Below are 25,799 nucleotides of genomic sequence, written 5' to 3'. Positions count from 1 at the left end.
CGCAGCGGACCCAACTCCGCGGCGGCGGCTGGCGAACTTTTTGTGAGGCTGGCAGCCCCCGAGCGGCGGGAGGGGCGGGCCCGGCGGGGCGGTGGTCGGGGGCGCGCGGAGGGGAGTTGTGGGAGCCGCCGGGGGCGCCCGAGGAGGGCAGCTGTGGCGGGGAGGGCCAGTGGTCCGAAAAGGGGTTTGTGGGAGGGGAGAAGCGTTCAGGTGGGAAGGAGCCGCTTGGTTACAGTTGTGGGGAGATACAGGTGTTAACTTCGGTGGGAGCCCAAGAGGCGGCTGGCGAGAACAGAGCCCCTCCCGGCCCGGGATGCCACTGTCACGGCACACTGCAAAGCAAAGCGGTTTGCTGCTATTCTTGTGTACTTGTAACGGTGATTTGGTTGTTACTAAAAATGAGAACGAATAGTGACTGTGATCACTGAGGAAGAACCCCCCCCTTTTTTTTTTAAACTGTGCAACAGATCAGTGATTCCCAGTAACCACTTAAACTCTGAGGGTCAGAGTTATCCTTGTCGTTGAACGCACCCTGTCTTTCTGAGGGGGTTCAGACCAGAGAAAAAGTCTGAGAGCATCTCTCAAAGGTACTTTGGTTACCTTGCGCACAGAAATAGCTGCGTAAATAAAAACCGAATGCGCAGGCGACTGAGTTTCCCTCCTTGGTTTAGGCAGTTAGTCTCCCCCTGAAAGTTTTGTGTGCCCTAGGGATGGGAACATTTCCTAATCTTTGTGTTGGCAGCAACACACTCAATTCCCATAGGATTTAGAGGTATCAGGCCTTGATGTAGCAAAGCAAAACAAAACAAAACAAAAATTAGAGAGGCTTTTTTGTTTTTTTGCAAGAGATATTTTCTGAGCTGCATTCAGGATCTTGTTGCTGTGACAAGTAGTATATAAAAGACATAGCGTTATAGCCTGGTTAAGAAACGGCAGTTACTAGAATTGAAGTTTTGAAATGCAGTCTCATTTGTGTGCATTAATCATTTTGTTATAATGTGCCTGATAAAAACATCTGAAGGAGGATGTTTTAATGATCACAGAATATTTGAATTTCACATTAGTCAGAGTGATTGAAATGTATTGAGGCATGATCTTATTTTGGGGGTGACTGAATTTGAGAATCAAAGTAATTTTAGATTTTAGGTGAACTTCCAGGAAGGGGTGAACTTTAGTTGAATCCCACTCAGTATCCTGAGGACTGCTTGATTTTTTTTTTTAGTTTCTCAGATAATAACAAGGATGTTGGAACTTGCATAACTGTGGTCCTTTCTAGCTCTAATTCTGTGATTTCCCACCAGGAAAACAAATAATTGCCACTTTGCTGTCAAATCTACCAAACTGAACACCAAGTAATATCTACTCTCGTGAGCAGATCAGGGTTCTGCTAGATGGTGCTATTTGATTTAAATATATTTCTTCCATTCATTTCAATTGGCAGCAGGAATTCTTGACTGGTTTGCCTTATGAACTTAAATATAGGTGAAGAGGCCGCTTTTGGAGAATTGACAATGACTGTTCTGGGTTAATTGTCGTTGCATTAATTTCTAGGTTAATGTTGTTTGAATCTAAGACAAACATCGACGTAGGTTCTGTCTTATAGAATAAACTTAATTTCATCTTGGTGGGAGAGTTGATCTAATCTCTCGGTTTTTCTCTTTATGTTTACTTGGGACTTTAATGGCACTATTCTGCAACAATGTACTAACATCTGAAGGTAGGAATCTTGAAGTCATCATTAAAATGGATGTCACCAGATTTTTGTTCTTAATTTTTAAGGTAACAGATTATAAAAGGTGAAGAATTCTCCTTTAGTAAGCAAATTAGAACTGTTCTTATCTTAAAAATCACAGAAATAATTTGTTTCTGTAACAAATACTCATTTTAACAAAAACATTCTGCAAAAGGAGTCATTATTATAAATAATAGCATGCTTAGGAAATAAGCACATTGGTTTTATAATCAAGAAATGTGTTTTCTAACATGAGTTCATGGTGAATAGTTGACAAGTGCTTACCTGTATTAGATCTTTGTTTTGTCTTTCATTAGGAAGTCACTATATGAAATATTTGAAGTGAATTATTGGTTTTACACAATTCCTGTAATTTCAGTATACAGTTCTGATAAAAATGATCAGGGTAAGATTAGTTACTTACTCTGTCATTTTAAGAAAAGCAGATCAAGTCTTAATTATAGAGGGAGTGATTGAAAACCCTTGGAGGGAGGTGGGATTTAGAAATTTTAATTCTGATCTTGTTAGGTCATTTCTTCCTTTAGCAGGCTTTCTTTATAACACTAATCGCAATTGTGATTAAATAACCGTGATTGGCTGTTTAATGTTTAACTTTCCCTAAAATATAAGTTTGTTGAGGGTAGGAGATAATCTAATTTCTTCTCTGAGGTATCTTGAACATTAAGGTGCCTTCTAATACCAAAAGCATCAATAAATTATTGTTATTGAAGATGTTAGACTCAAAGGAATTTTTTCAATGTAAAAAAATTTTTTTTCAGTGACCTCCAAAATAAGGACTTGTAAGTTTGAGTTTCACATTCTCTAGCTTAGTTGTATTTCAGAAATACCCCTAAACAACAATACAACAAAAATAACTATTATTTATTTGCCATCCTGTGTGCCAGTCACTATGTTCAGTGTTTTATGTATATTTTTTTCTTAATTCTCCCAACAAATCTACAAGACAGTTGCTTTTTTTTTCCTCCATTAAAGAAATATGAAAACTAAGACCCTGAATGGTTAAAGAACTCACCGAGGGATACAATGCTAGAAAACAGGAAAGCTGGGTTTCTAACACAGATTTCTCTAACTTTAGAACCTGTGATTGAAGCTGAAAGATACATTTTTCAGTGTACCAGATTGTCTTCCTGAACTAGGGTAGGATGCTACAGATTTAGGGAACAGCATTACATAATCAGATGTGACAGACTTTAAAGATTTGATCAAATATGCAGTCTTAACCACTGGTGCACCCTGATGCTTTGCAGATCTGTGTATGGTGTGGGAGAAGGCACAGAAATTTTAGGAAAGTTGGAAGCCTAACATAATGACGAAAACTTGTTTCTTCAGATTCCCCCCCCCCCCAGGAATTTTGTTTGATTGCTTGTTTTAAAGTTAAACATAATAGTTGTGAACAATTCCTATATGAAATGTTGCTGAACTTAAAGCCACACAGTATGCCACACTACCGCAGAAAGAGTAACTGGCACCTGCAAATAGATGAGTAGTGATATTAATTTTTTATTAAACTAATTTGATCTTTTATGTAAAGCACAGAAAGATGAATCTGCTAGAAAGCAAAGTTGAACATAAAAGATACACATAATATATACCGACTTTTATTTAGTAAACTAGCCAGAAACTACAAGAATCAAACTGTCTAATCTTGAGCTCTGAAAAGTAACTTTGGCTTTTAAATTTTCAATGTTAGTTGAATATACCAAGAAGCAAATACCATATGCTTATTTCAAAGTAGTTACAGTATAATGAACATTTAAATGCCACTTCATATAAAAGGGATTAATATCTGCCAGCATCACCTTGTTCTCCCCTTCTACCATTAAAGTAATTAAAGCATTCCCCCATCATTAAGGTACCCCCTGCAAAGAAAAATGACAAACCTTTCTTTCTTTCTGAAGGAATAAGGCAAGAAAAGTAATAGAGATCTCTTCAGAAACTTACTTGACAGCAATTCGCACAATTCAGGATTTCCAAAACTAATGAAGGAGTATCTTATGGAAGTGAAATTTTGTGTAAAATATTAAATTGCCCCTCCCCCTTTCAGTCTCCAGGATGTTCCCCCAAAATACAAGTTGTTTAACTTGTATCCGAAATGTCATGTTAGCTTTTGATTGATCTTTTTCTGTTATTTCAGAAGTATCAAAAAAACCCCTATTTTTAAGGAACATATCTAAAGAAAGAATCTGTGTAAGATGTTCAGAGTTAAGTTTTGGTATTGTTTATCCAGAGATTAATTGTGACTCTTAGAAGTAGTAGTAATATTGTAATTTTTTTTCAGAGCTGTGAGAGAAAAAAGTTGAAAGTTTTCAGTTTCACGCTTTCAAAGCCAGTTTGCCACATAAAACCAATTTAGGATGCAGACAAAATCACTACATTTTAGTTGTTCTGCAGTAATAGACCAAATATGCCTTTCATCTTTAATCACTTCTAGAATTATTTTGTTTTAAGATTAGAGCATACTCTGTGGGGCAGGGGCTGGAATACCCAGGTTGCAGTTTATTAATGTTTATTAATACTTCACCTCAGTAGTTGAGAGTTAGAAGTAAAATTTGGGGGAAAAAACAATTCAAATTTAGAATCTTCTTTCTTCCATAGAAATCACAACCATTGCATTAATCCTGGGACATAGGACAAAAGTACTGAGTTTGAAAGACATGGAACTACTAGGAATATATAATTTAAAAATAGGATTTCAAAATTATTTTGGAACACATGAGGTTATTCTCTATTATTGTGTGTATGTTATTGCTTTGCCATTGGTGTGGGAATTACAGATTATATATTTGCATGCTAGTGACATGTGAGCCTCTGTAAGCGTATGCTAAAATATTAATTTTATTAAGAACTTACTGTTTCTGAAAGGGTGGACTTAAAATAGCATTGGAGCAATAGAATAAGATTCATTTGTTAATATCTGAAGCGTTTGGAATATAAATAATATTCCCGATTTTAAACATTTGATCAAACTTTGTGTATTTTACAAATGTAGCATGTATTCATGCAAGGTTTTGTTAACGTATGTATATAACCTAGCATAACTTGGACTGTGAGAGTTACTTGACTATTAGATTAAAACCCTATACATACTACAAAAGGTGAGCTGAAGGGTGGTCCACCAAGATTAATGTCTTGCCTGTTTTCAGTAGTTAGAGAAATAGCAGAGGCTCTTCTTCTGCAACCTATTTTATTCTTTGTGTGAGGACATTAAAAAACAAGTGGAAATATGGACTGCCTGGGGAAGAATAGAGTTTTTCCAGATAACTTTAACATTTCTGATTGGTCATAATTGGTAAATGGTAATTTTTGTCATGTAAGTTAATAGTTAAGAATTTTTGAAAAATGGAACTGTTAATGTTTTTCTTATAATTATAGGACCAAAAATTCATCTGGACTCAAATCAGCCTGGGCAGTCTCAATGCAGTGGCATAATTAATATTTATTTTTTTGTTCTTTTTTTTAAAGACAAACTTCAGTTGGTGTCATTTCTTTAGAAATGACAAAACTACTCTCATCTTTTTCCTTTAAGAATGTTAATTACATTTCATGTATGACCCTAAACAGCTTTCAGACAATAATGAGCCATTGTAACATTTTAAATCACAGTTCAGCTAGAGTGAGTGTAAACGAATGACCTGGCAATCTCCTATTTTTGATCTTCTCTGTTAATTTTGCTTCATGGCTATAATGTCAAACAAGTAGTTCAGCACAGAAAAAAAATTGTAGAGGCTAAAATATAGCCCTTTGTTTTTTTTTTTCTAGTTTTAAATATTTTTGTAATTGTAGGTGTTAAAGAGTATGGTTGTAATTACGAATATAGCTTTAATTTTTAATTAGCTTTAAATCTATAGCATATTAAAATACTGATGAAATATTTGTAAAGGCAAGAATAATAGATGAAAATATATGTAGCTCTGTCCATGTAAGTTGGGTGAGGAATTGATGACAGAAAAAGGCTCTTACCTGAAATTAATATGATTTATTTTAGTGATCTGATATTTGTCTGATTCTCCTTTTATTTGTCTATTTTAGATGAGAAAAAACCAAGAGCTACTTTATTAATGGAAGAAATCTAAGTAAATAAATTATTCTTTTAAAAATGATCTCATTTTAAATAGGATTAAAGTGAATATTTTTTGTAAAATAACAAAATCCTAAATAGTATATAAAGAGTTTGTGTTTTGTCATAGAAAATTATTGCTTAACATTAACAGCAGTGCTATCATTTGAGTATCTTGTTTGTTTGGCACTTGTCTGCATTATCTCATTTAATCCCCTCAAATCCAGTAGGCTGTAGGTACTGTTTTCTCTTAATGTTATGGAAGAAACAGGCTTGAGTTTATTAGGCTTTTGGCTTCAGGTATCAAAACAGGAGACAGAAAACAGCTTAATTGATCAGGTTTAAAAGTAAATCTCACATAACAGGATGTCTAGAAGTGGTAGTGTAAGAGTTCATTCATTGAGTCAAGAACATCAGGGTTCAGGATCGGCTTCTTTGCCATCCTCATGGTCTTCCTCTCATGAATGTAGCATGGCTGCCTCGGGTTCCCAGCATCACTCCCTTACACACTCAAGTGTAAAGGCAGGAGGAAGGACAGGGTTTTTCTTTCTTTGTGTCTCACCAATCAGGGAGGAAAACTTTTTATTGAAGTTGCTTAGGAGACATCTTCTTATCCCTTATTAGAGAGAACTACAGAATTTCTTCCTGTAAACAAATTATGCTAGATATAATGGGATTACCATAATTGGCTCACGTGAACTACCTAAACAAAACTTGGGATCTTTAGCAAGGAAGATGTATCTTGAGGATATAGGGAGAATAAAATGAGTCCCTGCTTTCATGAGACTTTGAAGGTTGAAGGAGAAATATATAATAATAAGCAAATAAATGTACTAGGCAACTTCAAATAGTCATATATACTATAAAAATAATAAAATAGTGTGATGTAGTGTAGAGAATGACTGGGAGGCTATGCTAGATTGGGTAGTCGGGAAGGTTCTTGGAGGAGAGGACATTTCAACGGAGAACTGAAAGAATCAGCCATAGAAAGACCAGGTTACAGTATTTCAGGCATGTCTAAGCTACTATTGAGGAAACCTTAGCATCAACATAATTGCTCAAGGATATGTTAAATATGAGTGAAAATTGGGATGAAGAAGCCATACTTGCCTGGTTTTGTTTTTAAAATGGAGGAATTGGGTGTTGGGTTCAGTTTATCTGATCTTCCTAGATAATAGGATTGATATCTTTTATCTTTCAAACCCTAAGGATAAACTTGTTCTGAAGGACAGTGGGGCTTTTATAATGATGATTATAGAAATAACTAAGATTTGTTGAACACTTACAGTATACTGGGTTAACAGAGGTTGGTACAATTGGCGTAATTATTTCTCCTAAACCTTCTAGATTGGATTGGATACTCTCATAGCAGACTTTTTTCTTTTTCATATTTATTATAAATAACAAATTATTTGTATTATTATTTTTTTGAGATGGAGTTTTGCTCTTTTGCCCAGGCTGGAGTGAAGTGGCGCAATCTCGGCTCTCTGCAACTTCCACACACCCCCCAGGTTCAAGCGATTCTCCTGCCTCAGCCTCCCTAGTAGCTGGGATTACAGGCATGCACCACCACACTTGGCTAATTTTTGTATTTTTAGCAGAGAGGGAGTTTCACCATGTTGGCCAGGCTGGGCGCGAACTCCTGACCTCAGATGATCCACCTGCCTCAGCCTCCCAAAGTGCTAGGATTACAGGCATGAGCCACTGAGCCCGGCCATTTGTGTGATGTTTAATGCCTCATCTTCCAGTTAGATTGGAAGCTCCATAAGAGCAAGGACCATGGTGTCTTCCTTACCGTCATATTCCCACTGCTTAGCACAGTGGTTGCAAGGTTTGTGATTATGTATTTGTGGAATAAATGAGTTAAGGATGTAATGAATTGGAAATATGTCACAATAGTCTATCACCGTATCTAGCTGATTTTCTCCCCAATACTCCTAGTATTTGGTATAAGAATTAATGTAATTTCTAAAAAATACTTTTCTATAATATGGGCATTTAGTATTCTTTCTTTGAATTTCAGGACTATGGAAGATTATATTATGATGTGTGTATATTTTTAATGTGAATTTTTGACAGAATTTTTTCATTTTCTTTGTGTTAAATTTAATATAAATGAAATTGTACTTTATAGTTTTCAAAATATTTTAATGTATAGTATTTTGTTTTACTTAAGTCACATTATAATCGTATGAGCTGGGTGGTATCTCCATTGACTAGCAATATTTATAAGTGGAAATTGACTTATGCAGCTAGGGTAATACAGATAATATGTGGCAGACCTGAGCCATATTTAGAGTTTTTTCGTTCCAAGGTCAGTGTTCCTTTCATTATGCTACAGCTGCCTCTTTTATAATGAGAGATTCATATATATTTAAGGTTTAAGTGTGGATTTGATTCAACAGAGAATCATAGATTAGATGATAGTTAAAAGTTTATGTCAGTACTTTCATTAAACAAAAAATATTGTTACAGTGTGTTAAACACAATCTGTAAAATTACTTAACTCTAAAAGTGCCACATCATGAGTGAAAGCTGATTTTTGTTTGAAATCCTTATGCTTTTGTAACATAAGTGGATAGGTACGGGACTTAGGATAGTTTTGGGCTTTTAATTTGTGAAGACAGGCTAATTTTTATCAGTGAACTCTTCTCTATTCCTTTGCCATTTAGCTTCAATTTGGAGTGCTGGGTTAGGGGGAGGGAAAGGTAAGGTTTTTTCGCTTTTATACCTCTCTCTAACAAGGGAGGAAAAGTCTTTCAGTATGAATTATTGAGAGAATATTCTTTTTCTTTTTTAATGTGGTAATATATATATAACCTAAAATTTACCATTTTAACCACTTTTAGTTGTACAGTTCAGTGGCATTAAGTACGTTCACATTATGGTATAGCCATCACCGTTCTCCATCTCTAGAACTTTTTCATGTTTCCAGACTGAAACTCTGTACTCATTAAACAATCACTCCCCACTCCCGCCTTCTATGTGCCCTTGACAACTACCATTCTATTTTCTGTCTCCAAGAATTTGACTATTCGAGGTATCTCATATAAGTGGGATCATATAGTATTTGTCTTTCTGTGGCTGGCTACTTTTGATAGCTTAATCCCTATAGCAACTTCGTAAAGTAGATATAATCCCCATTTTACATATGGGGAAACTGAGTCTCAGAGGTTTTATATTTTGTCCAGGGCCACAGAGTAAATTGTATAGTCTGGATTCAAACTCAGGTTTCTGACTGCACTGCCCATTTTAACTATTTTGACTCAGTGTGTTTCATCGCTTAACATGGCGGAAAAATTGTAATGGAAGTTGTGGGAGGTGGCATGAGGATGGGAGGGGAATGTGCATATTCATCATTTTTAGTTGGGGTGGGAGGCAATAGAGGTTAAGAAGTTAAGGGAAGAGTAGAAGCATTTTATAGCTGCTAAAAAGGTGGATAGTATTATAGGTACCAAAAGTGCCCCACAGATAGCTACAAATTCTTTAGCTGGTATCTGAGATTTAACAACATGGATGTAGGTGCTCACCAGAGAGGAAGATGCCAATTAAGAACTCAGGTTATAATTTCAGATAGAGCTGTTTCTCATTCTGTAACCAGAGGCAGAGTAATCCGGCATAAGTTACTTTAAACTTTGGAGTCAGGAATATGTGATATTTAGGAAAAAAGGATCCTGTAATTATGAGTCTCTTTTGTTGTCTCTTCCAAGCAGCGTATGGCCTATTGGGCTTTTTTTGGACAAGGGCACCTGAGAAGCTCCGTGTGATACAGGAGCAGTAGTACAATCATATTGGTTCTATTACCTAGTCATTTCTGTAATACTGGCTATTAGAAAAAATAGAAATAATTTCTTTGTTTTATTTTTTTCACATCATTATGTGCTATTTGTCATTTATAATTGGATTGAAATTATTTGATGATTATACATTATCAGTATATTTAAGCGCTAGCTATCCTGGGAAGCTATTAAGGTGTTTTGGTACATTCTTTTTTTTTTTTTTACCCTGGATTAAACTTAGTGACTGATACTGTATTCCTTCACTTAGAAATATTGTAATGGAAAAACTTGAGTGAGCTTTCTTGCTATCAGATATATTACACATACATATACACACATGTGTATGTGTGTATATCTTGAGAGTAGTTTTCAGGTAGGAGTTCATCTTGGGAATGACTTAGTAATTTTGAATTCAAATTTTACTGAGTCAATTATATAAGTGAGTTGGACTTACGAATTCAGGGCCAGAAAGATTAGAGTATAAGCAAGTTTTTACTGAAATATTAAAGGTTGTTGATGCTTTTCTGTAAGATAGGAGTATAATCGACAAGAGTGATCATTGACAAGATAACATAGCAAGTACTGGCAAAAATGCTGCTAGTTGACAAAATGCTTTTGTGTTTGTATTAGGTCCCCAGCAGAATAGCAGAATGGCTCTCTTAAAGGGTTAATTGTATGGAATCATATAGAATTGTACAGAATAATAATTGTATATAGAATAGCGTAAGAAAGTAGGGCTTCTTAAAAAGCTGGATTTTGCCAAAATAGCATTTAAAATGTTTTTAAAACTTGTTAACTATTTTATAGTGTAAATGTATATATATATTTTATGAGATGGGAATCATATTTATTCTATCTCCCCACTCCGTTATTCATTAAAAAAATGTTAACCGTCTGTTATATGTCAGCCTCTGTTGAGCCTTCCTGAGTCAGATCTTAATAACCTGGCAATCTCTGCCCATCAGGAACTCCCCATTCAGAGGGGCCTCACTATCAGCCACTACCACACTGGGTAGCAAGCACTATAATGGGTATGCAGAAGGTTCTGTGGGATTCCTGAAAAAAAGCATTGAATCTAGCCTAGGGCTGTGAGAGTGTCAGGAAATATTTCTAAGAGGATGTTTATTGAAAGGCTAGCATTAGTCAAAGTGGAAGATGGGGCAAGTAAAGAGTATTTTAGCCAGAGAGAGAATCATGTACAGCAACATGGAGGCATTAAAAGGTATGATATAGTTGGTGAACTGCAGTAAAGTTGGTAGGGATAAATCTGGCAGATTAAATACGAACTATTTCAAGAACAGCCTTAAATGACAACTTGACCTAGGAGATAAACAATTTTTTTTTTTTTTTTTTTTTTTTTTTTTTTGGAGATGGAGTCTCACTCTGTCACCAGGCTGGAGTGCAATGGTATGATCTCGGCTCACCGAAACCTCCACCTCCCAGGTTCAAGCGATTGTCCTGCTTCAGCCTCCCAAGTAGCTGGGACTACAGGCGTGCACCACCATGCCCGGCTAATTTTTGTATTTTTAGTAGAGATGGGATTTCACTATGTTGGCCAGGCTGGTCTCGAACTCCTGACCTCGAGTGATCCACCCACCTCAGCCACCCAAAGTGCTGGGATTACAGACGTGGGCCACTGTGCCCGCCCTGAGATAAGCAATTTTAAGCAGAAAAGTTACACCATCTGAGGTGCATTTTAGAAGAATCGTTTTGGAAATCATATGGAGCATGGAGTAAAGGGGGAGGTAGATCCATTAGGAAGCGATTGCTATAACAATACAAATGCTTATAGCGTCATCATTTTTCTACACCAATGCAGTGGTCATTTCAGGATGTAGAATAGATCAGACTTGGTGGCCTAAGTGTGAAAATTAGGATTTTTAAAGATGGCTGCAATTGTTGGTAGAAGTTTTAGTCACAGACTTTGGGATACAGGAGGAGGAACAGGTAATTTTAAAGGTGTAAGGAGGAAGATGATGAGTTTAGTTTGAGATGCCATTAAGACCTAGCGATGGAGAAGTTTGGGAGGAACTTGGATATGTAGCTTTTGAGTTCCTGGAAGAAGTCTAGGCTGGAGATACAGAAATGAGAAAGGATAAGTGTGAGGAAACTAAGGCTTTAATAGGATAAGTAATTTAGCTGAAGTACACATGTTAGAGCTGAAATCTGAACTCAAGGTTTAGTTTATTATTTCTCTCTTTAAAAAAATAGCGTTATTGAAATCTGACATTCATACAGAAAAGTGCACATATCCTAAATGTGTAAATTTGATGAGTTTTCGCAAACTGAACACACCAGTGTAACCAAGTACCCACATCAAGAAAAAGAACATTACCAGCACTCTGGAAGCTTCATATGTGCTACCCATCTTGCTTGATTTTTAACAGCATAGATCAGTTTTGCTTGTTTTTGCTACTAATGTATGGCCCATTTGGTTTTGCATCTTGTATCATTTGAAGGCACGAAATAGGGATAAAGCCATTCTTCTTGGGAATGTGCAGGGAGAAAGTGTGAGGAAATCAGAGATGGAAGTTCGGGGAATATTTAAGGTATAGGTGGAATGAGAGTTTGAAATTGAGATTGAAAAGAACGGAGACATATGAGGGAAACGCATAAAGGACTGACATTAGCAGAAATCAAGGAAAGGGAGTTTTGAGAATGGAAGGGTGAGTTACCATGCCAGATTTGTAGAATGAACAAGAAGGTTAAACAGGGCTGAGTTTTTTGTTTTTTTTTTTTTTTTGAGATGGAGTCTCACTCTGTTGCCCAGGCTGGAGTGCAGTGGAGCAATCTCGGCTCACTGCAAGGTCTGTCTCCCGGGTTCATGCCATTCTCCTGCCTCAGCCTCTCGAGTAGCTGGGACTACAGGCGCCCGCCACCACACCCGGCTAATTTTTTTTTTTTGTATTTTTAGTAGAGACGGGGTTTCACCGTGTTAGCCAGTATGGTCTCAGTCTCCTGACCTCGTGATCCGCCTGCCTTGGCCTCCCAAAGTGCTGGGATTACAGGTGTGAGCCACCGCGCCTGGCCAAACAGGGCTCAGTTTTTAAGAAACCATCTGTGACTTAGGGAGGACAGTTTCAGTGGAGTGAACTCAAGTTAGATGCAGTGTTTTGGGAAATTGATAGAAGATGAGGTGGTGGAGATGTCAAATGTGGACAGCCTTCACTGGAGAAAGGAAGCATAGAGAGAAGACTTAACTGGAAGGGGACATACTTTTTTTTTTTTTTTTTTTTAACTTGGAGAATTTTGCAAGGAGGGGCAATAGTTGGAATAATTTTGGGTTTTATTGTGTTGTAAAGAGGTTTTGTGAACTCCAAAGTGTTTTAAACCACTTTTATTATTATTATCATTAAAGGATGACAATAATGGTATGCTACAGGGGACATGGAAAGGAAAGCCAGTAGGTAAAGTGGTTTTTAGCTTTAGTTAGGTGGGTGTTGAAAGTGACTGAGTGTATGAATTTTTAAAAAGTGATTTTGGGATGGATTACACTTGCTACCTTTTGTCAACTGATTTTTAAAAACTTTCTGAATTGTAGGAGATTAGAATTAAAGGGATCATTTTGAAGTGATAACTAGAAAATAACTGTGGTACCATGGAGAAAACTAAATTAATAACTGCCCACTCTGGCTACCAATCAGGCTATTAGCCTGTAAAGCAAAAGTTTGATGGGAAATTATTTTTTAACTCTCCCTTGGTTAGCTGACTTTTCTTTAGAATTGTATTTCTAAATTTCCTTTCTACTTTTTAAATTGGTAGAAGGGACAAATGAGAATACCTGAGTAAAGGCCCTATTTACAGAGCACAAATTGAGTTAATTTGATTAGCTTACTAGTACTCTTTAAAATACTTTTTATTATTTGAGTAATAAATATTCCAAGAAGAAAAATTTAGAGATACAGATAAGCAAAAATGAAGAAAATAAAAATAACCATATAATCTTTTAGACTTTTTAATATCCATACATGCATATACAAATTTTGATATTTAATGAGAAAAACATCAAAGCCACTTGACCAAAAAGCACCCTTTTAAATTCGAGGAGAAAAGGCAGCAAAAGATAACATTTGTGAGCATATATCAATTTCCAAGTTCCAATAAATACCTCCCTCAAAAACAAGATTAAAAAAAAGTTTAAATTCACTTATTATTCATTTATTCATTAACTACTTTTTTCAGCATCCTGCTCTGTGCCAGGCACTGTATAAGGCAGTGGGCAAGGTAAACCCTGCCAGAAAAGCAAACAGGGCTTTTGGCATAGCGCCAATTTTGTGCTTGGAAGAAGTCCAGTGAGGCTGTGATAGTTTCTAGAAGCAAAAAATTCAGTAGTGCCGTAGAGTGTGTGTGTGTGTGTGTGTGTGTGTGTGTGTGTGTGTGTGTGTGTTTCAGGGTAGTAGGATGTTTTTGGAAAAGTGGTAGAGGCTACAGAAATAAGCAATGACTAATTCTTGAAAGCCAGCCTAAGAATTATGAATTCATCCTGAGGCCAGTGGGGCCCACTCTTAAGATTGGGCAGCGACTTGATCCGAGTTTGTTTTCTACCAACTTGAGAACAGGAAACAATCTGAAATACTCGTTTCATTTTACCCAGGTGTAATAAAACACAGAAGGATTGATAAATACGTTTTGTCATTTTTAAGAGGATAAGCTTAATCTCAGAGGAGAGCAAATGCACATATAGAAATGATAAAGTATGGTTATCGATGTTCTATTTTATCTAATATTTTATGGTAAAATTTATATTTTGCTCTGTCAATAGGGAAGTTTATAAAATGTTGTGAGTTATCATTTGTAAAGCATGAATTCTTTATTAAAATTATCTTATTATTTAAAAATATACAGTCAGTCCTCTCTGTGGGTTCTACATCCGAGGATTCAACCAATAGTGGATTAAAAATATTCGAAAATCAAAAATGGATGGTTGCATATTCACTGATCAGTGTAGATTTTTCTTCTTGTCATTAATCTCTAAACAATACAGTATAAGAACTGTTTACATAGCATTTATATTAGGTGTTGTAAGTAATCTAGAGATGATTTAAAGTATAGGGAAGGATGTACATAGGTTATATGCAAATGCTACACCATTTTATGTAAGGGACTTGAGCATCCATTGATTTTGGTATCTGCAGTGGGTGGGGGGTGACCCTGGAACAAATCCCCCATGGATGTGGAAGGATGACTGTATTTAAATTTAAAATTTAAGTAATAAAAAAGTCCTATGTTATATATTACTAATAGTGTATTTCTACGTAAATCTCATGATTGTCTTATCAGAGCTTTGAAATGCAACTGATAGTATTTAGGGCTATTTATTTTTTGTTGTAGTTATCAAAGATACAATAAATTAGGTTTATCTCTATATATTTAATATAATTTGCAACATCCAGCATGAGAGGAATTAACTAAAGTTTGCAGCCATTGCTGTTCTAAGCAAAATTCTTAAGTGCTTTGATCATTAATTTAGCATGCTTAATATTCATTTAAAATCGGCAGTGAGGAGCATATGCAGGTCAACTTGATTTTTCTTTTCTCTTTTTTTTTTTTTTTTTTTTTTGAGATGGAGTCTTGCTCTGTCTCCCAGGCTGGAGTGCAGTGGCACGATCTCGGCTCACTGCAAGCTCCTCCTCCCGGGTTCACACCATTATCCTGCCTCAGCCTCCTGAGTAGCTGGGACTACAGGTGCCCACCTCCACGCCCGGCTAGTTTTTTGTGTTTTTAGTAGAGACAGAGTTTCACCGTGTTAGCCAGGATGGTCTTGATCTCCTGACCTCATGATCTGCCCGCCTCGGCCTCCCAAAGTGATGGCATTACAGGCGTGAGCCACCGCGCCCGGCCAACTTGATTTTTCTTTCGGGAACTGGAATAAAGTGACATTATTTGAAAAATCTTCAATAAAGGTAATGATTTTGATATCAATTGTAAGTTAGCTAGTTATTGGTAGGAGAGACAATGATTGCACTGGCTTCCATTTTCCTTTGCTGGTTGATTATCTATATGGTGTGTACTGGGATTTGTTTATGTTATGGATATATACTTCTTGTCTGTTTTGCTTGTCTTCTGACAAGTCTAGGAGCTTTGAAATGTTTAAGAATTGTGTATGTGTTGTAGTGGCCTGGTGTCATTTAGAATATACCTGAGAAATTGTGTCAAACTGCAAACTAAAACCAAAGTGAAAAATAGTTTTGCCAGCCCTTTAAGATATTAAAGATTGCTTAGAGATACTTTGTTAATGTTATTCATTTTACTTATCACATTTTTTTCTTAGTATGGAAGGTTTTTTTGTTAGTATGTAAGTAATACAACAAATTAAGCAATGGAGTTTTTATCTGTGTATTTAAGGAATTATAAAAGGCAAAGAAACAAGTATAGGTTAATGTCACTTTTCCATATCTACCAATTCACTTAAGTAGCTTTAACCCAAATAAAACAAAGGGTCTTGACTCTTGATTCTGATCAGAAAATGTCATCCTTTTGTCCATTTACTTTAAATAAGTAGTTATTTGTGGTACAACTTGCATATTTCTGATTGTTTCTGTAGTTACCTTTGATTTTTTTCATATAATTGCAAGGCTGATGATACTTTGAAAATTTTTGGACTTCCTTACCTTTGACAGAGAAGAGAATAGTTTTGTATCTTTAAATGCATGGACATTTAACTATTTGAAATAAGTTCTATTTAGTATTCAGAGCCCTATTCAGACAAAACTAGGGACTGTAGCTGAGGCTTATGGGAAGCTTTCAATTTCCTAAGTTATATTGCTACAGCCACTGTACTGAGAAAGAACTACAGTACTGTCTAACTATGGCATTTGGTCAGATCAAGGTGAGTTATATAGAAAGGAAAAGGGAATCAATAAAATATAGGATTAATAATTTTTTAGATTTTGTAACAGATACGATTTGTCAACAAAGTTGGAGGATTAAAGACAACAATTCCTGGGGCTGTTTGATTTTAAGTAATCCAATCTGGATAGATTATAATAAATTCACGTTTTTTGAAATATATAGTTTACTAGTGAGACTATTTCAGTGTTAAGACCAATGAGTTTCCGTCTGTGTGGCTATAATGGGGGTTTCTGACCTTTTTTTTTTCTAGCTGTTGATGTATTGATGGGAATCCCTACAACCATAATTTACCATGACTAAGACATTCATTTTTCTGTTGTTTGAAAGTTAGAGAGATAAGTATCTCTCTTTTCCCTCTATATTTGTTTATTACTGTATGATTAGTTCTCTTCTATTAGTCAATATAACTGATTTCCAAGGTATATTTTCCATTTAGTGGAATCCTGAGATTGTTGGAGCCTTCATATTTTTTTCCTTCAGTCATCTTGCCGATTGACACTAAAATGAGCTTAATAAGATTTTTATCTATTATTGGAGGATTCCAGGCCTATTTATTTTCCCTAGGAAGGCTATAATATTTAACAAACAAGTTTATTGAAATATTTTAGAACTTTAAATCTTTTGAAGTTACCCAAATTGGAGGGTCTTACAACTTTGAATTACTTTCTAAGACCTCTTTCCTTCCAGTAATGAGAAACATTTATTCAACTTTTTAAAAGACAGAAATCATCTTTTTAAAATGTACTGTTTTCTAATTGTCTGAAATGACAAGAGATCACTTACCCAGCAGTGCACAAGACTTCCAAAATAGCTGAGCAGCGGGTGAGGGGCTAGAAGGCGGGGGGTGGTGGTGGTATCTTTTTTTAAAAAAGTATGTTTACTAGAAAGGGTATAAGATACTTTGCTTTTGTTATAGGTGCACTTGCACAAAACTCATTTTAACCTGTAGTCACAATTTCTTCTGTATGACCCACCCAAAGTAACCAGGCTGCAAAGCATTATACCACATATAAAAGCAACATTCAGATTGCTTGTTTTGCTTTTATTTATTTGCATATGTAATTTATTGTGCCTGTGAAAAAAGGAAGTTCTTATAAAGAGCAACAAAATAGGAAAAACAAGCAAATTGTCATTTCTTCTGGTAGATTATGATTTAGAATTTAGGTAAAAAAATTAAGTTTGAGTGATTCCATTTAATCTTGGTAGAGTTGTGATAGCTTATATGTAAAAGCAAAATCATTTTATTTAAAACATTATGAAAAGATGCTGACAGTAAATTTACGGAGTGCATTAGTGTTACTATTGGATGTGTTGGAATCCAGACTGTAAATTATTGTTACTCTGTTACATAAAGACTACTAATTTTTAGTACATGTTTATATTGATTTATTCATATTATAGATCATGGAATACCACTTCATTTTGAAAAAAGAGAATTATAGTTTTCATATTTAGAAACTGAGAAAGGATTTTTTAAAAATGAAGAAACAGATGGTTTAACATCATATGCTCTTAATTTTTGCATATTTTAGTTTCTGAAATAAATGTAATTATGGTTTTGATTATGTTTTCCTACTTTTAATGTAGCATTTCTAGGATTACTATTAAGACCTTCTAATTAACATAGGTGGATGATATTAGAGGTAACCTCGATTTGATATAAGACAGCAAATCACAGACCATCTTTTGAAGCCCATTTTAAGGCCTTGAAATCCAGTGCCTCAATGCACTGCAGTGATGAAGCAGCAGAAGTTTTTGTTCTCCTGACATAATTGAAATGAATATAAAACTTTTCATTTCTCTGTTTAAGTTAATATTATTATATCAATTATATTATTGTAATATAATTTATTATAACAATATTATAATAAAAGACAATTCTGTTTGGGGTTTATCTTATCACCATCATATCTTACATAAGCAATAGAGGAGAGAAGCAAAATTTTGGGTATGAGTCTTCCCAAGTTATCTACAAGTTAATGGTTTATTGTTCTTAAGGGAAAGGAAAGAATATCTTTTAACATGGATGATAATCTCTTCTATAGATGTGTTGAAACCTGGAAATTGAAGAAAATCCTATTAATTGAACTTTATTTGGGTAAGGTAATCGACTTTGTATTGTTTAGGGTCCTTTACTGAAATGGCTACTGGAACACTTGAAGTAGGTAAACATTTTTGCCTGAAGCTTATTAAGGCCGCCAGGAAATCTTTTCTCTTACTTGGCATAAGTAAAGATATTTTTCCATAGGATATTGCCCAGGATTCATTTGGCTTGGCAGTTGCATGGATTGTTTTGTGATTGCTTTTTGAGGGCAATAATTCTGCCCCATGAAAATATTAGTCATTATTATTACTATTTTTTTATCTTTGGTCTTCTAAAAAAGATAAAGGGCCGATGTATAATTTCTTAGTAAACTGTTAACATATTTGAATGACCCAAGGAACATAATGATGTTCTGCTAATGACATCATTCTCATCTTTCTGTCCCAATGAGATAGATATTGTACTCTATTTTGTGGACAAAGAATCTGAGGCAAAAGCAGTTAGAAACTTAAGGGCACGCATTTCAGTATTTATAGAATCTACATTGGAACCCACTTGTTTTCATTGAAGTTTAATCGTATAGAGTTTCAGTTTTGCAGGATGGAAAAGTTCTGGAGATCTGTTTCACAACAATGTGAATATACTTAACACTGCTGAACTGTGCACTTAAAAATGGTTAAGATTGTAAATTTTCTGTGTGCACAATAAAAATATATTAGAAATTATTTTCTTTTCATTTGCTTATTAAGTACGTTTTTAGTGAAGAATATTCTGGAGGTAAAATGTTCATCATTTGGCTCATCTCTCATCCAATATGAAACTGCTTCAATTTCATCACTTAAAAGGAACCTGAGTTTCTACTTTAGTTTGGACTGAGCTGTAAAAAGTCTTTTCTTTCCTTTCTACCAGATTGTATTTCTTTTTAAAATCTAGTCAATGGAAAATTAAAAGATAAGATATAAATCAGAATTATGACCTATAATTTATATTATGACTTATATTATACCAAGAACAAATGTATTTGAGAATCTCCTGCCTTTTTCGCTGAAGCTCAAGTAAAACTGTAGATTTTTAGATTTTTAGATGTTTTTGACTATGTAAACATTTCAAGACCAGGTGTGGTGGCTCAGGCCTGCAATAGCAGCACTTTGGGAGGCCGAGGCAGGTGGATCACCTGAGGTCAGGAGCTCGAGACCAGCCTGGCCAACATGGTGAAACTCTGCCTTTATTAAAGTTATAAAAATTAGCCAGGCGTGGTAGCGGGCGCCTGTAATCCCAGCTACTTGGGAGGCTGAGGCAGGAGGATTGCTTGAACCCAGGAGGTGGAGGTTGCAGTGAGCCGAGATCGTGCCACTGCACTCCAGCCTGGGCGACAGAGCGAAATTCCATCTCAAAAAAAAAATTCTTTTAAAAGTACACTTACTCTGTAATTTTGGTAATGATGAAGCGTTCATTTTAAAAATAGAGTAAAAAGTACTTGTGATTTATTTTCATGAAACAGGATAGAAATCCCTCATCTCATTTAATTAAAAAAGAAATAACCACTGGTAAAATCTGATCTTTTCCTTTCTCCAATACCTGTCAAGATTTACTTTGTATATCTGTATTTTCTAAAATTGTTACCCTATATCTTTTACATTAAAAATAGATTAATAATTAAGGGTCAATCCTTTAGAATAGGTATTTTAAATTATGTGATTTAGTCTATCTAGTGTATTTGCCTATTTATATAACTATTTATTTTGACCTATCTATATAACCACTTATTTCTCAGTCAACCCTCTGTAAGTGTAGATGTCTAAGTCTAGCTTATATATAACTTACAAGTTATATGAAAATACCACATTGTATCTCATAAATGTATACAATTACTTTTCAATCAAGAATATTAAAAATAAATATAATTAAAGGTTAAAAAAGCAAAAATATGCTGTCCTAGATTTCTCAGTGCTTTTAAAGTATGAAACATGTTCATTTTATGAATCACAACCTAATACTCATAGTGTTAAATACTATGAGAGTAAGCCTTTAAGTATAGAGTATTGAGTTAATACTCCTCAGTTCATGGCATGGTATTATCATTGGTTCATGTCAGGCCTTTCTGCTGTTTAATTGACATTCATTCATTTACTCATTCATTTATTCTCTATACCTGTTCCTCATTTCTACAACCCCCAGCCCCATAGGAAATCATTTAGACCTACCCATTTTGCTGTGTGTATATCCAGTTCCTATTTCTAATTGCTGCAAAGGGGATTTACTGTTTCACATTGTTTTATAATTGCTTGAAAATTCCTATCTTCACGTTATTTCTTTATATTTTTTTAAAGAGAGAAGCCAACCTATTTGAAGGTAGGCTAGTTCAGATGAACTTTTTATGCGCAAATATAACCTAATTCAGTGATTCATAAAAATGAGTAAGTTTAACACTTTGAAAGTATTGAGAAATTGAGGACAGCATATTTATTTTTTAACCCATTAACATTATAATTTTTATTTTTAATATTTTTGATTGAAAAATAATTATATACATTTATGTGGTACAATACGGTGTTTTGATATATGTATGCAGTGTGGAATGATTAAATCAGGCTAATTAACATATCACCTCTCTTACCTATCATTTTTTATGGTGAGACATTTGAAAGGTATTCTCTTAATTTTAAAATACAGAATACTGACTTTTAAGACTCAATAAGTAATTTAAAAATTAAACTTCATTCTCTATTAAACATCAAATTTAGTTTTTCTTTGTTACTGGTTATAGCATTGCATAGGGCCTCAGTTTTAGTAGGGATTCAGTAGATGCGTTGGTTTCATTTAATGCCATACCCACTAATTTGTTAATTGGCTTGGACATTTGCGCAAGTTAATTCATGCTTGGAGCTTTAATATTTTAAAATGATTCAGACATCAATCAAGCAACCAGAATTTATTACAAAATCTGTAAGATATATAGTTTCTAGTTTACATTCTCGATGTTGACAGCTTTCCTCGCCCAAATTATTGCATCTGATCCACACTATTATTGTGTGTGGTAAGCATGTCAGGCATTATATCCATTTTAGTAAAGGAGAAGTTGAGTCAAGGCATTAAGTGGCTTGCACAAGGTTATATGGCTGTTAAGTCATAGTCAGGACTATAACTGAAATTTTCTGACTCCTCGACCAATGTTCTCTATACCAATGTTTTCAAACTCTGTTATAGAAGGAACTGAAGGAGGTGACATAATATGAAATGAGGACAAGAGAGGCCATCTTAGATGAAATGTTTTATTTATTTAAAAAAAGATGCTGCCCTTTTAAGTAAAACTTTGAAAATCATTGCACTGTATTGTCGCCGTTTTTGTTTTGAAATGGAAGTGCTAAGTCAGATTTGTCAATGGTAACTCCAAAAAGGGATAAGAAAAAGTCATCTGTTCCTGAAATGCTTGTTGCATTTACATTATCTATCTTGTCATGTCACTCCCCATTACCTTTAGAATAAAACTTAGACTAACGGTGGTTCACAGGACGCTGAATTATCTGGTCCTTGCCTAATTCTGCAGACACATCTCTTGCTATTTTCCCTTTTATTCCTGATCCCCCATAGCCTTCTTTCAGTCCTTGAATATGCTAGCCCTGTGACACCTCAGGACAGTGTTCCCTTTCCCCAGCCCTTTCTATGGCTGGCTTCTTTTGATCTATCAGGTTCCAGTGGCCTTCCCTGACCATCCTTTCTAAAGTAGGTCCTCCCTTATTCTCCACCCTGTACCTTGTTTCACTTGTATCCTGTAACACAAAGTGAAATTAGTTAATTACTAGTAGACTCTAAACTCCATGAGTGCAGGGACCATGTTTACCATGTTTTCTTTTGAATCCTTAGTCACTTTGCCTATAGTTGGCCCTGGTTAAATATTTATTGAATGAGCAAATGTTGAATGAATTATGAGTTATCAAGAGATGCTCAATTTATATTTACTGTCCTCTGAGAAAAATCTCAAATTATACGCATTTGATGAATATTTCCATAAAATGATTTTAATGCATTAGTGCCTAATAGTTGTAGTCATGATTTAAAGAATGTTGCATGAGATTTTTTTTTTTGAGGTGGAGTTTTGCTCTTGTTGCTCAGGTTGGAGTGCAATGGTGCGATCTCAGCTCACTGCAACCTCTGCCTCCTGGGTTCAAGTGATTCTCCTGCCTCAGCCTCCTGAGTAGCTGGGATTACAGGCATGTGCCACCACTCCCGGCTAACTTTGTATTTTTAGTAGAGACAGGGTTTCTCCATGTTGGTCAGGCTGGTCTCGAACTCCTGACCTCAGGTGATCTGCCTGCCTCGGCCTCCCAAAGTGCTGGAATTACAGGCGTGAGCCACTGCACCTGGCCCATATTCTTCATATGTGATTAATACCCCCAACAATGTTGTGAAGTTAGTAGTATATTCTACTTTATAGGCAATGCAACAGACTTAGAAAGGTTTGTTGATATTTGCCCAAAGACACTTAGCTAGTAAGTGGCAGAACTGGGATTTGAACTTAGGTCTGTTTGTAACTAAAGTCGGCACTATTTTCACTCTATTTTGCCGCTTCCTAAATTAATGCTTAGGTTCTCTGGAAAATTTGCTTCTGATGAACACTTTCCTTTCCCAATGACGCTGGATAAATGGGGTGTTACTGTAATAAGGTGCTAATTGAATGGCGTACAGAGTAAGTGCAAAAGAAATTAAAGGAGGAAAAGGTATGTGCTGAAGTCATCAGGGAAACCTCATGGAGCAGCTGTGGGACTTTAGTTCATTCAATTAATGCTGTGAAAGTGTTCTGCATACTGGACCGTGTAGGATGAATGGGATATAAATAAATATAGAAGGGAATTGAGGGTATTTTAGTTTGGAGAAACTGCTTAGAAGTGTTGTGGGTATCCTGGAAGCAGTAGGGAGGACTAGTGTGACTGGAAGAGAGGATTTATCTTGGAGAAAAGTGGGATATTTGTTGAAAAAGTAGATGAGGATGATTGGGGGTATATAAACTATATAGAATTTAATTTTCTCTGTGGTTGCTAAGAGCAGTGTCATTGTGGGATACAATAACAGTTTAGGAACTTCAGTTGGTAATAGTATGCAGGTTTTAAGTATAATAGTGCAGCATTGGTAGCACAGTGAATAACAGTGGCAGTTCTGGCCCTGGGCTTGAATTCCACCCCTTTCACTTGCCGGTTTGTGAGCTTGGAATATTATTTCACTTACTGTACTGTTGTTTCTCCTCTGAAATGGAAATTGAACAGTAGAACCTTTGGCCTGATCCCAGAGATTATGATTCAGTGTGTCTAAGGTATGGGGCAGGAATACCCCCTCCTCCCAAATCAGATTTAGTTACATCTCCTATGTGGTCCCGGAGGGCTCTGTATTTGTTCAGTGTTTCTTTTCTGACCTCAGGTGCAAAAAGTTGAATTCATCAAACTCCTCAGATTAATGACAGACTATCAGCTTTTGGCAAGACTCCTCTCTTGTTTTATTTAAAATAGTTCTCATTTATCCCCAGTATTCATTCTAATTCTCTGCCTACATAGATGTTCGTACTAATGTTTTTTTGAATATGTCTGTCTCTTTAAAAAATATATGGTGCTGTTTTATGCACACATATTTTTAATTTATATAAATTATATTGTGCTAAAGATCTTCTGTTTCTTTTTTCATTCAACATGTTAAAATGCCTTTTATGATAGAAAACTTCAAACAGATCCAAATGTAGAGAAAGTATCAACCCACCATGTGTCCATCATCCAGCATCAACAATTATCAGCTCAGAGCTGATCTTGCTTCATATTATTAACCATTCCTCCCCTAGTGCCTCCTCCCCACAACTCCACCTCTGCAAACTGTATTATTTTGAAGCAAATCTGAGACTTTTTAAAACTGTATTTCAGTGCCAAAAACATCAAAAAACCGCTACCCATTTGGATCTCTGTATATCTGTTTCATAACTTGTAACTGCTCTAGGTATGTCAGTGAATGCACTTACCACATCTCTGGCCCTCTGGTGATGGTCACCTAGTTTGTCTGTAATATTCTGCTACCACAGACAACTTTGATTTTCATTTTCATACATGTCCTCTTATGGGCTTTTGGGAGAACTTTGATTTTTCAGAGTGGGATCTCTGGATAATAGGGTATATATACATATACTTCATTTCACTAAGTTTTGCCAACTTGATTTCCAGAATGTCTGTACTAGTGTACATTCTCACTAGGAGTACATAGTAGTTCTCTTTTCCTCCATTTCCACTGGCACTCTGTATTAACTTACATTATATTTTTGCCAATCTTTCATTTGTAAAGTGGTATATTATTTAAATTTTTATTTCTCTGATTATTAGTGAGGTTAGTTATCTCTTCACGTATTTGTTTTCTGTTCTCCTTAAGACCTCCCATTCTTGCTGTTTTATTATGCCTAAAAAACTCTTTCCCCTTATTCACGTGGCTCACTCACTCCATTCAGATCTCTTCTTAAATGTCATGTCCCCAGAGAGTTCTGCTTTATCTTTCATTGTCTTTATCACAACAAAACCTTATATTATGTTATGTATTTATTTATTTTCTCTGCTCAAGTTCCTTGAAGGCAGAGACCTTACCTGTGTTCACACCTGTATCCCTAGCACTTAAAAAGGTAAGTTCTCTATAAATATTTGTTGAATAAATAAACATGAATTGGCTATTTATATCCTTTGTCCATTTTGCCTACTCAATAGGAGCGTCTTGAATATTCTAGACATTAACCTGTGTTGGTTTTAGATGTTGTTATAATTTGTTATTTCTGTCCATCGTAGCTGCGTTTGATAAGGAATCCTTAATTTTCAAGTGGTTAAATCATCACGTCACAACATGTAAATCAACACATTGTGGTTTGTGTTTTTGTGGTCTGAAGAAATGCTCTTCTAACCCGATATTACATATCCCTCTCCATTTTCTATTTGCTTTATAATTTTATATTTTATATTTGGGTCTGTAATTTCTTAGGAGTTTACCTTTGTATAGGCTGTGAGGTGTGGGGGGTGATTTTATTTTTCTTCCTGTAGAATACAAGCAGTTTGCACTTTTCCTGCTGATTGGTAGTACACACTTACTATGTACGAATTATTTCTCATATTTCATTGATCAGTTGTCTATTTGTGTTTAGTATCAATGTTTTTTATACAGTGGCTTTGCACTGTGTTCTAAAGTCTGATAGGGCAAGTCCTCCCCCTTTTAAAAAATTGACTTAGCAACATTCGTAATAGGAACAATCAAGTAGCTAACCTTTAAAAAGAATGCAAAAGATCATTATGGAGTAATTATGAA

At 35.4% G+C, this 25,799-nt stretch overlaps 1 protein-coding gene across 88 annotated transcripts in view, besides 1 other annotated feature; it reads left to right on the top strand.

The window, feature by feature from the left end:
• The window catches only part of SSBP2 (single stranded DNA binding protein 2), a 339,004-nt gene that overhangs the window by 1,688 nt on the left and 311,517 nt on the right, over nucleotides 1-25,799 (top strand). For 2 of the 88 annotated variants that reach the window (XM_047417065.1, XM_047417059.1), the window contains exon 1: nucleotides 12,827-25,128. The exons of the other annotated variants lie outside the window; for them this stretch is intronic. The gene's annotated coding sequence lies outside the window, so the exon portion shown is untranslated. Of the gene's footprint in view, nucleotides 1-12,826; nucleotides 25,129-25,799 lie in introns of those variants that run through there. 88 annotated transcript variants of the gene reach the window in all.
• Nucleotides 2-161: a silencer, noted in NCBI's record as "silent region_16142". NCBI's record gives its function as "represses an Ori minimal core promoter by ATAC-STARR-seq in GM12878 lymphoblastoid cells {active_cell/tissue: GM12878}" and the evidence as "EXISTENCE:reporter gene assay evidence [ECO:0000049][PMID:35858748]".

Source organism: Homo sapiens, chromosome 5, assembly GCF_000001405.40.
Source record: "Homo sapiens chromosome 5, GRCh38.p14 Primary Assembly".
NCBI lineage: Eukaryota > Metazoa > Chordata > Mammalia > Primates > Hominidae > Homo > Homo sapiens.
This window is presented reverse-complemented; position numbering and strand designations above follow the sequence as displayed.